The sequence below is a fragment of the Homo sapiens genome, chromosome 3 (assembly GCF_000001405.40).
Source record: "Homo sapiens chromosome 3, GRCh38.p14 Primary Assembly".
Lineage (NCBI taxonomy): Eukaryota > Metazoa > Chordata > Mammalia > Primates > Hominidae > Homo > Homo sapiens.
In genome coordinates this window covers 14,321,908-14,336,189 of record NC_000003.12, presented here as the reverse complement: position 1 = coordinate 14,336,189, position 14,282 = coordinate 14,321,908, and the positions used below count along the sequence as shown (strand labels likewise).

Genomic DNA, 14,282 nt, shown 5'->3' with positions numbered 1-14,282 from the left:
ACATATATTGTTTCATTTGTTCCCTCAGGTAAAAGACAGGTGGGTAATTAATCTAGCCGTGGTAAAAATAACTTGCATTTGGAGATTGACAACCTGTGCCCGAACTTGACCCTGGACAGCTGCACAGCTGTGCAAAGGTGGACACGTTCCTGGGTAGTAGCCTTCTATTTCTTGTCTGTAAACAGGGACGGTGACAATCTTGGCTGCTCAGTGCTGCCCCGAGGACTGGCCAGGCCAGGCATGCACAGTGCTCAGTGGGGTGAACCTGAGGCCCCTGTTGTTATTAGTAGGGCTGTGGTTTTGTCATTATTCCTGTTGTGAAGATGGAGAAACTGAGGCTCACAAGAGGCATTCATCTGTCCAAGCTGCCTTGGAGTGGCTGAGCTGGGGTTGAAGGCAATCATGCCAGCTTCCAACACCTCATCTTAACCCACTTGGCCAGGCTTTCCCCTCCAGGACCCCAGAGGACACACACATGCTAGACACCCACATATGGCAGGTGGGACAAGTAAGTGAAGGCCTGGCCTTAGCTATTTCCTTGGCTCTGTCTCAGGCCTGAGGCAACTGGTTCCCCTCGCCTATGGCAGGCTCTCGCAGCTCCTTCCTTGAAACTCTGGGGTGGGGGTGGGGTTCTACAGGCCTAGGATTTTTTCCTGGGGTGGGAGATGTGCCAGGCCCTGCTCTGCATGCCCTCATCCATCCCAATGACCCAGACCCTGTCTCAGCCTTGCCATTTGCTGTGGCAAGACACTCTAGCCCACTTACCGTGTCTCTCTGGGCCTCAGTGTCCTTTTCTTTAATATAAGGTTGAGCACCACACTGAAGGGTGCTGGTCTTTCAAAGTCCCTTTGGTTTCCTCTTCTGTCCCAAGAATCTTCCTCAGAGCTGAATTTGGAATTCAGCCTGCCCCAGGAGCCCAGAATGCCCCGGCCAACTTTCTGAAGATGGGGCTGGGGTTTTCATTTTAGAGAGGAGGCTACTCGCAGGAGTGGCTCCTGTGTTTCTTCCTGCAAGAAGTGCTTATGAGCATCTCCTGAGTCGGATGCAGAGATGAATAAGAGGGAGCCGTGGCCCAGATGGCTGCACCATATGAAGTGGAGGAGAACGGAGGCTTCCAGCCGCCATCAGACAGACAGACAGATGTACCCACTGCACCCAGCCCTGGGCTTGGCTCGCCTGCACTCTCTTCCCCAGTCTTACCAGGGGAGACATTGGGTAGAAGCCTTGTAATTGGAGGGAAGAGGATGTGACTGGAGACCTTGACACTGCAGGGAGACGATGCTCGCTGAGCTTTCCAAGCCTGGGATCTTTGTTCAAAGGAGATGGAGCAAAAATTATGCTAATAGAAGTAACATCAATTTTTCCAACGAGCCAGCAGTAGTACAAGTGGCTGTTGAGTGTGCATGCCTGTGTGCATGTGCATGTGTGTCTCTGTGTACGTGTGTGTGTTTGTGTGTCTGTGCGTGTGTGTGTGTGCGTGCGTGTGTGTGTGTGTGTTGAGAGATAAAGGAAGAAAACTCATCCTCATGAAGGAGATCTTTCCTTTCCTTTTAGACCTTTTGGGTTTAAAATGGCAGCATAGCCCAGTGGTCAAGGGCATAGCTTGGTGCCAGCTGTGTCCTCTCAGTGAGTCCTCAACTTCCTCGTTGCTTCAGCTGGAAGGTGGGGACACTGATGGCACTCACCTTGTTGGGTCGTCAGGGGACCCAGTGGATGGACACAGGGAAGGTGTTCCTTACAGTGCCTGGCTCCTGGGGGGGCAGCCTGAGGGTTTGCTGTTACGAATGTTAGGATTTTAGGGCAAAGGTCTCCAAACTTGAGGGAGCATATGGCCTCATGGTTGAATACTTATTTGGAAAGTACAGATGTGATTACTGAGCTAGTATCTTATGTACATTATAAAACAAACACAAAATAGAAACTAAAAGGTTCACAAATGTGTAATCTTTTCTTTACCCACCCAGTGACTGCTGCCCGGAGCTCACACTCTGGGCAGAGGGGGCTGGGCTGGGTGCCCCCATCCTGTGGGGTACCTGGCCGAAGTAACTGCAGAGCCCTCTGGGAAGTGAGGGATTAAACCTCCCCCAGGGTATTGGTGGGGAATGCAAGGCAGGCATTTGTATTTTAACATTTAATCCATGTGTCAAGGTCTGTTCTAACCACCTCACAACAGTAACTCATTTCATCCTTAACAAGGAGTGTTTCTGTGTTAGCTCTGTTTTAGCAGAGGGGAAACTGAGGCGCAGAGCAGTGAAGTAACTTGCCCAAGGTCACACAGCTGGGAAGGAACAAAGCCAGGCCTGGTTCCAGAGTGCATCTACCCACGGACAGGGCCTAGAGGAAAGCCCGTGAGACTGACACCCCTGACTTCCCCAAGGGCACGCTGCAATAGATGCCCTGACAACAATGTGATCACCGCCCCTGTTTACAGATGCAGAGGCCAAAGTTCAGCAAGCCGAGGGACCTGCCTTGGGTCTCCCAGCTGGTAAGTGGTGGAGCTGGGATTCGAACCCAGGTCCAACAGACTCCTCAGTCCATTGTCTTCACCACCAGCCGAGCTGCCTCCAGGAGAGCCCTGTTGTGGGAAGAGCACTGGGCAGGGAGTCCTGAGACCTGAGTTCTAGTGCTGACTTTGCCATTGGTTCATTGTATTATCTCAAGCAATCCCCAGAGAGGGCCTCAGTTTCCCCTGGGTAACATGGGGCAAAAGTTGAACTCATTGGTCACTTCCAGCCTTTCAGCCCTGATGTTCCCCAGTGCATGGTAGGGGCAAGGGGCACCACCAGAGTCCAGGAGAGAGAGGCTAGTTGGGTTTAGGAGACCAGGAGGGCTTCCTGGAGGAGGTGAGACTTCAACTAACCTCGAGGAGGGGCTCCCATGGACACATTCTACATGGTCTGAGTGGTCAGCCCATTTTACAGAGTGAAAAGCAACCTGCCTGAGGCCACACAGTGAGCACATGGTAGTCTCTGGATTTGCACCTAGGACTGTCAGAGCCCTACTCTTCAGCACAGTGGACTGAAGGAGAGGAGGTGACCCCCACCCCAGGAGCCTTAAGACATAGAACACCAACCATTAAGGCATCAAGCAGAGTGTGCCTGGCACAAAGTAGGTGCTCAATAAATGTCTAAGGGAGGAAAGAAGGAAGGAAAGGAAAGGGCTCATGGCAGATTCCGGCCTGGCAGGCTTCCCACCCACTGGCACCACCAAGCAGCTAGGCCCAGCTGGGCCCCTGTGGGGACAGAAACCTACAATATTTTGGGGCAGATTCAGATGCCACTGCGCAGAGCCTAATTAGACTAATTAGAGCAATGTTTTCTGCTCTGCTGGCTGCTCAGCCCCTTGGTGTGTACAGCCCTGGCACAGGAGAGGTCACTACCTTCCCAAGGTGAGGGCAGGGCCCTGCTAGGCCCTGTGGAGCCCCTGGAATTCCGAGCTTCAACCCAAGCTGGTCCCCAAGGCAGCTGATACATCTGGGCCAAATCGTCCCATGTGCCCTGGCTGGTGCCCACAGCAGAAGTGACCAGCCGGGGGTCAAGTGGGTCATGTAACTCAGGGCCCCCCTAGTGCAGCAGGGAGAGGAGCATACAGGCCACCCTGGGCCCCATCCCCACAGCATCCTTGACCTCCTTGGTTTGCACACCCCCTGAGACTGGAGGCTTGCTACCTCTCAGGCTGGCCTTGGCATTGCCCTCCTGGGCTGCAGAACAGGTCTGAGTGGGCTGCCTTGGCGCAGTATGGAGGCGCACCACACAGCTGGTGAAGCCCAGGCTTAGGAGTAAGACAGACCTGGGGGCAAGGACTCAACCTCTCCCTTCTTTAGTTTCCTGATTTATAAAATGAGGAGAGTCCTGGTGCAGTGGCTCACGCCTGTCATCCCAACAGTTTGGGAGGCTGATGTGGGAGGATTACTTGAGCCCTAGAGTTTAAGACAAGCCTGGGTAACACAGTGGGACATGACCTCTACAAAAAATAAATTAAAACAAAATTGGCTGGGCGTGGTAGTGCACACCTATAGTCCTAGCTACTGTGGAGGCTAAAGTGGGAGGATTGCTTGAGCCTGGGATGTCGAGGCTGCAGTAAGCTGTGATCACACCACTGCATTCCAGTCTGGGCGACAGAGCAAGGCCCTAACTCAAAAAATAAAATAAAATAAAAGGTGGAAAAAAATAGCGCATTTCTCAAAGGATGGCTGTGAGAATTAAACGGGTTAATATATGCAAAGCACTGAGGATACTGCCAGGCACAGAGTAAGCACAGTCATACAATTACAATGACATTTTAGTCAATGGCCGACCGTGTACGTGATGGCGGTCCCACAATATTTTAATGAAGCTGAAAAATCCCTATCGCGTAGTGGTGTCTTGATGATCCCGAGCCTATGTAGGCCTGGGCTAATGTGTGCGTTCGTGACTTCGTTTTTAACAAAAAAGTTTACAAAGTAAAAAAAAAAAAATTAAAAGTTTTAAAATAGGAAATAGCTTATAGAATAAGGATATAAAGAAATAAAATATTTTTGTACAGCCGCACAAGGTGTTTTAAGCTAAGTGTTATTAGAAAGGACTCAAAAAGTTTAAAAAGTTTAAAAGTTTATAAAGTAAAAAAGTGACAGTAAACTAAAGTGAATTTAGAGTAGCCCAAGTTTCCAGTGTTTCTGAAGTCTGCAGTGGTGCAGTCATGCCCTACACCTTCACGTGCACTCACCACTCACTCGCTGACCCACCCAGGGCAACGTCCAGTCCTGCAAGCTCCATTCATGGTAAGGGCCCTGTACAGGGGAACCACTTTTTATCTTTCACACCGTATTTTCACTGTTTCTTTTTTATGTTTGGATATGTTCAGGTCCACAAATACTTCTCACTGTGTTCCAACTGCCTGCAGTGTTCCGTACAGTCATACGCTGTACAGGTGGGTAGCCTAGGAGCAGCAGGCCATCCCATGCAGCCTAGGTGTATAGTGGGCTGTGCCACGTGGGTGTGTAAGGACACTCTCTGTTGTCTGCACGACAAGGAGATTGCCTAAGGACACATTTCTTAAAACGCTCCCCATCACTCGACACAGGATAGTGCTGACTTCTTCTGCCCTCCTGTGTGTGTGGAGTGGGGCGTGGTGTTTGTCCTCCCTCCACACTGACACTTCCCGAGGCCCACAGCTAAGAGGGCAGAGCTGGGATTCTGACTCTGCATCCAGTGCTCATCTGCCCTTAAGTCCTTTCTTATAAATAAAAAAAACCCCAGCAGAGTTTGCTCTAACCTCTAGCTTTATCCGGGGGAGAAAATTAAAATAGTTCACAACTGGCAGGACAAAGCAACCCACTGGCATGGATGCCAGCAGCAAACAGCCAAGCTGGATGTTGCAGGGCACCCAACGGCATCCCTGCTCCCAAGTGACATTTCCTGCCTTGGACTGCAGTTCTCTGTGGATGTCTCTGTCTCCTCTTCTAGGTCTTGGGCTCCTTGAGGCCTGGGCCACAGTCCTCCATTATGTCACCGCGCCATGGCCTGGCGCACAGGGTCCGGCACATAGTAGGTGCTTCACAGGCAGGCATTCATTCCAAGGCTACTACACGCTGGGCCCTACGCTAGGGACGGGGGATGTGGTGGTCAGTTCCAGGTCCCTGCCCCTTGGGAACCTCGTACCGTGGTAGGGAAGGTAGTCAGTGACAAGCACACAAATGCAGGAGGTCCCTGCAGGGCGTGGAGTGCCAAGAGTGAGATGCACAGGGAGCTGTGCGGAGAGCCGCTGGAGTAGTGATTTGCTATTTTAGGAAGGAATTAGGGGAGGCCTTCCTGGGGAGGTGACATTCATGTCAGACAGATCTGGGGGCTAAGAAGGAAGCAGCCAGGGGAGGGGTGAAGGAAGAGGTGATGCAGGCAGAGGAGACTGATGTGCAAACACCCCCAGGTGAGACTGAGTGTGGGGCGTTGATGGCTTGTAGGGGAGCCAGGGAGGGGCGGGTGGCAAAGATGCAAATGATGAGCCCCGGTCAAGGGTATGGGGATGATGAGAATCAATGGACAGGTCAAGCAAGAGAGTGACATCATCTCATTTATGTTTTGAAAGAATCCATCTGGGCTGGGCGTGGTGGCTCACGCCTGTAATCCATGCATTTTGGGAGGCCAAGGCGGGAAGATCACTTGAAGCCAGGAGTCTGAGACAAGCCTGGGCAACATAGTGAGACCCCATCTGTACTAAAAATAAAAAAACTTAGCCAGGGGTGGTGGTGCGTGCCTCCAGTCCCAGCTGCTTGGAAGGCTGACGGGGGAGGATTGCTTGAGCCCAGGTGGTGGAGGCTGCAGTGAGCTGTGATCACATCACTGCACTTTAGCCCAGGCAACAGAGTGAGAATCTGTCTCAGAAAAAAAAAAGAAAAGTAAAAAAGAAAAAAGATAGAAGAATCCCTCTGGCTGCTGAGAGAAGAATGAGTCGCAGAGAGCTGGAGGGGATGCATGGATGAATGAGGAACGATTCCTCCAGCAGCTTGGAGTGAGTAGCTTTTACTTCACAGCACACTAGAGTAATTACCCTCATTACCCTTGTTCCTCTGAGTCAGCAGGACTTCTGGAAACCTGAGCTTTCTCAACAACAAAGCAGAAGGAAGAACAATGAACTCACGCTGGTACAGAACGGAACAATAGCTGGTGGTGCGCATAGGCACCTGTGTTGTGGAGAGTCAGGTCACTTGCCAAAGCTCCAATAGGCTCCAAGAGCTACACATTGAACTGAGTTAAATTTTAACAGAAGAAATCTAAAAGGAATAGTTTGGGCTTGTCCCACAAATATACACGGTCCATACTGTGTTTTATTTATTTATTTAAGAGACGAGGTTTCCCTGTGTTGCCCAGGCTGGTCTCCAACAACTGGGCTCAAGCGATCCTCCTGCCTGAGCCTCCTGAGTAGCTGAGACTACAGGTGTGAACCACCACACCCGGCCGTACTGTGTTTTAAACAAATCTGAAATCTTTGCTGACATTTCAAAAGAAGACTTTCTGTAAAAATCTAGATATCTAGCTTCCTTGGAAAACGCCAGAGCTTTGGCAGCCCAAGGTCTGCATTCCCTCCTGGCCACAGTCAGGGAGCGGAGCTAAGTCTGCCTCTTTCAGATGTTTGCTGCAGTCCCCACCAGTCCTTACTGTCCTCCCAGTCTAGTCACTGGTTACATTAATGGTGCCCAGGGCATTTGAGTTTGTGATCCCTATTTTTGTTTTCAAACATAGAAAATTCTGATAATGCCAAGGTTTGGTGATGATGTGCAGCAGCTGGAATTTTCATCCTCTACTGTGGCAGTCTAAATTGGGGTGGCCATTTTGGAAACTACCCAGTAATTTCTAGTAAACTTGGAATTATTTAGTAAATTAGAGACATGTTTAACATGACCCAGCAAGTCCTGTCCTGCCTTTTTACCCTAGAGGAACTCATACCCACACCCACCAGAAGACATGCACAAGCACAATTTGCTATAACCTAGAGTAACCCAATGGCCATCAGCAGAAGAATGATAAATAGCTCTACGTTGGAATAGTATACAGCAATGAAAATGAATGAGTTATAGCTATGTGAATGAACAAATGAATGAATGGATGAATAAATGATGGAGACACAATGTGAGTGAAAAAAGCAGGTCTCAGAAGAATACAAACAGAATGAGTCCATTCCTATAGAGTGTCCAGACAGGCATACAAAACAATATGCTATGTAGGGAATAGACTAGAGGTAGTACAATTAAAAAGAAAATCAGAGGAATAACGAACGTAAAATCCCAGCTAGTGATTACCTCTGAGAAAGGGAGAAGGATGCATAGTAGTAATGTTCTATTTTATAAGCTGGTGGTAGAAGTTCACAGTTTGCAATATTATTATTATTTTAAATTATTATTAATATTAGTTGTTTTAGAATTTTTTTTTTCTTAAGATATATTTTGGCCAGGCATGGTGGCTCACACCTATAATCCCAGCACTTTGGGAGGCTGAGGCAAGAGGATTGCTTGAGCCCAGAAGTTCAAGACCAGCCTGGGCAACATAGTGAGACCCTGTCTCTACAAAAAAATTAAAAATTAGCCAGGTATGGTGGCTCACACCTGTAGGACCAGAGGCTTGGGAGGGTGAGGTGGGAAGATCGTTTGAGCCTGGGAGGTCAAGGCTGCAGTGTGCCATGATAGTGCCACTTGCATTTCAGCCTTGGTGACAGAGCAAGACCCTGTCTCAAAAAAAAAAATAAATAAATAAAAGATATTTTGCTGAAGACAAATATAACTAGGGCAGCATAAATTGTATACATCTTAAGTGTTCACTTCAATGAGTTTTTTACACTTGTAGTTGCCCTTGATATTATCACTTGAGCAAGATTTGAGAGATTTCCCACACCCCAGAAACTTCCCTTGTTTTCATTTGCAATCACCTTCAGCCCCCAGAAACTTGTGCATTGATTTCTTTCTTTCTTTCTTTCTTTTTTGATACAGAGTCTCACTCTGTCGCCCAGGCTGGAGTGCAGTGGCACCATCTCAGATCACTGCAACCTTCACCTCCTGGGTTCTACCAATTCTCCCACCTCAGTCTCCCGAGTAGCCAGGACTACAGGCGTACATGCCACCATGACCAGCTAATTTTGTATTTTTAGTAGAGACGGGGTTTCACCATGTTGGCCAGGCTGATCTCGAACTCCTGACCTCAAGTTGATTCACCCACCTCGGCCTCCCAAAGTGCTGGGATTACAGGGATTACAGGCATGAGCCACAACACCCCACCTTGTGTGTTGATATCTTTCAGCGCAGCTCAACTTTGCCTGTCCCAGAGCTTCACGTAAATGGACTTGTACAGGATGTTCTCTCTGGGGTCTGGCATCTTTCCCTCAGTGTGCTGTTTTGGAAATGTATCCAGGTTATTGTGTCTATCAGTAGTTCATTTCTTTTTATTACTGAGTAGTATTCCATAGTACGGATGCTCCACAGTTTTATTTATCCACATCCCTGGTGATAGAAATTTGGGTTGTTTCCAGTTTGGGGCTCATATGTGTGTGACAGCTGTCACACATATTTGCATATGAGTCTTTGTGGAGACATGTTTTCATCTCTCCTGGGTAAAGAAGCTGGGAGTGGAATGATTGAGTTATTCAGTAGATGTCTGCTTAATTTAAGGTATCTTAAAAATCCCATTAGCTGCCTGACTTTATAGGAAACTTGCCGATGTTTTCCCAAATATCTGCACAGTTCACACATCCTCCAGCAGAGTCAGAGCCCCAGCCGCTCCTCATCCTCATGGCACTTGGTGTTGTAAGTTTTACAAAAAAAATGCAGCCATTCTGGTAGGTGTAAAATGGCATCTGGTTATAATTATAATTTTAACATTTTGTGTTTCCTTGGTGCTGAGCATCGTTCTATGTGCTTATCAGCCAGATACCTTCTTTTGTATCTGTTCAAGTCTTCTGCCATGTTTCACAATTGGATTATTCATCTTTTCTTTTTTTTTTTTTTTATTTTTATGACGGAGTCTCGCTCTGTCACATAGGCTGGAGTACAGTGACGCTGTCTCGGCTCACTACAACCTCCGGCTCCTGGGTTCAAGTGATTCTCCTGCCTCAGCCTCCCGAGTAGCTAGGACTACAAGTGGGCACTACCAGGCTCAGCTAATTTTTGTATTTTTAGTGGAGACGGGGTTTCACCATGTTGGCCAGGGTGGTCTTGAACTCCTGACCTCAAGTGGTCTGCCCGCCTCGGCCTCCCCAAGTGCTGGGATTACAGGCGTGAGCCACCGAGCCTGGCCAGGATTATTCATCTTGTTACTGTTCATTTGTAGTTATTTATATGTTCTCAAATAAACCCTTTGTGACACACACACACACACACACACACACACACACACACGCAGAGTCAATATTGTTTCCCAGTCTTTGGTTTGCCTATTAGTTTTGTTAATGCTGTCTTTTAATGAGCAGAAAATTTGAACTTGGATGAAATCCAACTTATCCATTTTTTTTCTTTTAAAGTTAGTGCTTTTTGTGTCCTGACCAAGAAACCCTTGCCTCTCTAATGTTGCAAAAATATTAATGTGTTTCCTTTATAAGCTTGGCTTTGCTTTTTACATTTAGATCCATTTCAAATTGATTTTTGAATCAATTGCAGCAGTTGACATATATATTTTTTTCTATATCTATGTCTCATTGTTTCAGCACCATTAGTTGAAAGTGCTTTCCTTGGCCAGGCATGTTGGTTCATGCCTGTATGAGCCAACAGCTCCCACTTCCTTTTGGGAGGCTGAGGTGGGAGGATCACTTGAGGCCAGGAGTTTGAGACCAGACTGGCAACATAACAGGACTCTGTCTCTACAAAAACAAAAAAATTAGCCAAGTGTGGTCGTATGCACCTGTGATCCCAGCAACTTGGGAGGCTGAGGCAGGAGGATTGCTTGAGCCCCAGCAGTTGAGGCTGCAGTGATCATGATTGTCTCAAAAAGGAAAAAAAGTGCTTTTATTACCCTATTGATTTGACTTAATTTGCTTTGACTTATTGTTTTAAAATTATTTTTTAGTGGTTATAATCTTCTGTTGTATTTATATTTCACATTTGAAAAAAGGCTGCCCTCTCAGTGCCACCTCTGTGCAGATATCATGCTCAGGGCTGGGGAGAGTGTGGTGTTATGACAGCCCCTCCCTGGCCCTGTGGAGCTGACAGTCCAGCAATGAGACTGAGATTGCTGAGTCAAATAATGAGGTGGATATGGTTTCTCCCTCATGGAGGAGAAATTAATGGAAACCAATTGCTAGACGTGTGCCGAGGGAGGCCTTCCCAGGGAATATGTTAATGTGAATAAGATCTGAAGGTCTTAATGGACCACAAGCTCGAGACCTTCCTCCTGTACATCTCAGACCCTCTCCTCTGTTCTGTCTTGTTTTGGGATCTTTGGCTCATCTTTGAGAAAGGGTCAGAGCAGACAGAGAAAAATCTAGAGGTGGCTACAGAGCAGGGAGAGGGCTGGAGGTCCTGTCCTATGAAGAGCGGGAGACAGGTAGCTCTGAGGTCCAAAGGGCAGAGCCAGGACATTCCCATCTTCTAGATAGGCATAGGCAGGCAGACCTCAGCTCTAAGCAGGGAAGTTTTACCTGGGCATGCACTGTTCAACATCTCTATAGGATTCCAAGGGAGAGAGAGGTTTGTCCTGAACCTCAAGTCCCCTCTTCATTATGGTGTATTATTTGAAGGCTTTCCGAGGCTTCCAGTCCTCCACACCAAGTTCCTCTGACAATAATGGCCACCTTTGCCCTTGAGCTCTGTGGCCACTAGTCAAGGCCCTCAGATAGGGACCTGGCCCTTCCAGGCTATTTACTGGAAGGACGCTTTGGTTCCCCTTCACGCCCAGCAGCAGAGTGGGAGGACCCAAGAAAGCTCTGCGGAATGCGCCGCCAGCCCCTTGGCTCTGTCTGGAATTTCACGGGGACATTTTGCAGTCACTAAACTTAGCACCAGTGCCTATGGCTTCTGGGTAGGCCCAGGCATGCCAGGGGCTAAGAATGAATCACAGAGTGAGTTGTCAGGAAAAAATGTGATGGGCTGGGCTCTGGGGACACGTTTTACTGTGGGCAGGGGGCACGGTCCTGAGAGGGAGTCTCTGGGACCCCTGGGACTCCTGGGATCTCTCCCATCCTGTTCTCCTTGGCCCAGAGATGCAGCCCTTACCCCAGAAAAGGGTCTATGCTCCATGCTTTTGGGGCTGGGGTGTCTGGTCTATCATGTATTCCACAAATATTTATTGAGGGCCTACTATGTGTCAGCCACCCTGCCAACCCCTGAAGATTCTGTGGGGAATTTGGCAGACGTCGTCTTGCCCTATGGAGTTTAGATTCTCCTGGGGAGGACAGATGGGTTCAGACCAAGGGGGCTACGGGAGCTGAGAGGTGGAGTCCCAGGCAGGGGAAATCGAGGGGAGATTCCTGGAGGAGGCGTCTAAATGGAGACCTGGAGGTGGAGGAAGAGCTCAGCTGGGGAAAGGAAGGAAGGGTGGTTCAAGCCCTTGAGGAACTAGGAGCGGTTCCCTGACACCCGGCCCAAATGCTTCCCACCCTACCATGATGCCATTTGGACTTTTCGCCTGTTTCCTGGAGACTACGTCACATGAGAGAAAGAGGCCACTCTTAGGGGTTGGGCAGACTTGGTCTGGAATCCAAGCTCCCACTTTCTGTGTGACCCACAGTAAGCCAGCCTGCCTCTCTGAGCGTCAGTTTCCTCTTCTGTACAATGGGGGTAATAACGGGTCCTCCTTCCAAGGGCCAGAGTGTACCTAAGTGAATGTGCTGGGCACAGTGTCTAATGCTCTGCAGATTGTCGGTAAAGGGAGCTCTTCCAACCTGGCCTGCAGTTCCCATCCTCCATCAGTCTGTGAGTGCTGCCCCTTCTCCAAAGCCCTACCCAGGGACTGGCCCAGGAAGGCAGTGATACATGCTGCTGGGGCCAGGAAGCTTTGTTTTTCATGTAGTCCCGGGGCTGTGGCTTGGGAAGAAACGCCAGCTACGTGGGGAGGGTTGCCCAAGTGCCTGGATTGAAACCCTCGTCCCCTCACCAGCCCCGCCTGCCTCCCGGGGGGACAAAGAGAAGGTCAGCCTCTCTTCTGTGGCCAGCAGCTGTCAGTGACAGGACCCAAGTGCTGCCCTTGGTTTCTTTCTTCTATGCGGATGTGGCCCTGGTGGCTGCCAGCCCTCAGATGGACAGGAACAGCTTTCCGCTGCCCTCACTCCAGGGACGCGTATGCACCACTGACCCACATCTGCCAACCAGTCCCACAAGATTATGCAGGCAAGGGCAGGGGTCTGGGAGCCCCATTCCTGTCCTGTCTGCCTGTTTCAGGAGCTTCTCCAGGCCTGGGGGGTGGGGGATAAACCCCACCCAATGCTTGACCTCTTCCTGGACTGCCAGCCTCAGGAAATCCTGCCTATAATTTGTCACACATTCCCTTGGGGCTGCTAAGCTTTTATTTTTAGGATTTATTGAGCACCTCCTGTGTGACCCAGGGTCATCTCATGAATTACTCTACCCCATAACCTGGGGGCAGGGTCATCCCCATGGTTTAAAGACAGGGGATCATGGTGCAGAGAAGTGAGGTGGCCGCCTGAGGTCACACAGCCAGGAGAGGGTAAGCTGGGAATGGAATCCAGCCTGCTGACTCCGAAGCTCACTGACGCCAGGAAAGGACTCTGAACTCAGCAAGGGAACCCCTACCTGTTACAGACGAGAAAGCTGAGCAGCAGGGGGAAACTGTCAGCAGCCATGGGTGGCAGAGCCCGAGTTTGAACCCGAGCCTGTAAACTGAGACCAAGGACTCTAAGGGGACAGAGCCAGGTTGCCTGCAGGGTCTAGCAGTGGATACGGGCCAGATCTTGGACTCTGGATAATCCAGTTCAAATTCCATCTTGCCCTAGCACCGTGCAGCACACACAGTGAACGTGCAGTAAACATGGTAGAGTGGATGAAAGCGAGGCGGGAGTGAGGACGACCTTGTGAGTGCCCTTGATCTGGGTGACCAGAATGACACACTAATGAGCCAGGCTGCCTGGAGCTCTCTTATCTTCATATTCAAATGGCACCCCCCCTCCCCACCAATTCCTCTGGCCATGGTTGATTGGGTTAAGGGTTGGCACCAACTGGGTCAATCACAGTCCACCCTCCCTGGCCATGGAAGAGTGGCCCAGGCATAGACAATCTAAACTGGGCCAATGAGTCTCAGCCCAGGAATGTTTTTTTTAAAACTTGGGACACAGAAGGTTGAGTTCAGAGCCTATAAAATACAAAACTCAGGGGCCAGAGGCAACTATGTTTCCATTTATGTAGCAGCAGTGACGGTGACAGCAATAGTCTCCATTAGGATGGCTTTCTCCTGCAAGTCAGAACAAATCTGTCCCTCAATGGCTTAATAACTAAAGTTATATTTTCCTCATGTGACAAGACATCTAGAGACAGGTGACCACAGGCATTGGTTCGGCCACTCAATGAGGTTAGAACTGGAATTTTGTGGTTTTCTTGCCTTTCTCTTATGGGTATAAGATGGCTGCCTCTGCTCCAGTCATTACATCTGCATTCAAGGAAGGATAAAAAGGGGAAGGGCTAGGCCAGTTGTGTTCGACATTTTTTTTATCAAGGATACAAAAACTTTCCCAGAACTCATAGCAGGTGTCTGCTTACATCTCATGGCTGAGATGGTGAGGCTGGGAAAGAGCATCCTGCTGAAGAAAATCAGGGATTTTATTTTATTTTATTTTATTTTATTTTATTTTATTTTATTTTATTTTATTTTATTTTA

General features: G+C 49.0%; 5 annotated features.

Annotated features, from left to right (window-relative positions):
* Nucleotides 842–1,011: an enhancer, noted in NCBI's record as "experimental_64943 CRE fragment used in MPRA reporter constructs". NCBI's record gives its function as "activates a minimal promoter by MPRAs in K562 erythroleukemia cells, with activity observed for the non-introgressed 3:14376764 variant allele {active_cell/tissue: K562}" and the evidence as "EXISTENCE:reporter gene assay evidence [ECO:0000049][PMID:34662402]".
* Nucleotides 3,507–4,036: an enhancer, noted in NCBI's record as "H3K27ac-H3K4me1 hESC enhancer chr3:14373654-14374183 (GRCh37/hg19 assembly coordinates)". NCBI's record gives its function as "activates a minimal SCP1, AML or CMV promoter by ChIP-STARR-seq in naive H9 embryonic stem cells {active_cell/tissue: H9 hESC(naive)}" and the evidence as "EXISTENCE:reporter gene assay evidence [ECO:0000049][PMID:30033119]".
* Nucleotides 6,931–7,124: a silencer, noted in NCBI's record as "fragment chr3:14370566-14370759 (GRCh37/hg19 assembly coordinates)". NCBI's record gives its function as "represses an EF-1alpha promoter that drives an FKBP-Casp9 reporter gene in an ReSE screen in HepG2 liver carcinoma cells {active_cell/tissue: HepG2}" and the evidence as "EXISTENCE:reporter gene assay evidence [ECO:0000049][PMID:32094911]".
* Nucleotides 11,498–11,667: an enhancer, noted in NCBI's record as "experimental_64938 CRE fragment used in MPRA reporter constructs". NCBI's record gives its function as "activates a minimal promoter by MPRAs in K562 erythroleukemia cells, with activity observed for both the introgressed and non-introgressed 3:14366108 variant alleles {active_cell/tissue: K562}" and the evidence as "EXISTENCE:reporter gene assay evidence [ECO:0000049][PMID:34662402]".
* Nucleotides 12,657–13,250: an enhancer, noted in NCBI's record as "H3K27ac-H3K4me1 hESC enhancer chr3:14364440-14365033 (GRCh37/hg19 assembly coordinates)". NCBI's record gives its function as "activates a minimal SCP1, AML or CMV promoter by ChIP-STARR-seq in primed H9 embryonic stem cells {active_cell/tissue: H9 hESC(primed)}" and the evidence as "EXISTENCE:reporter gene assay evidence [ECO:0000049][PMID:30033119]".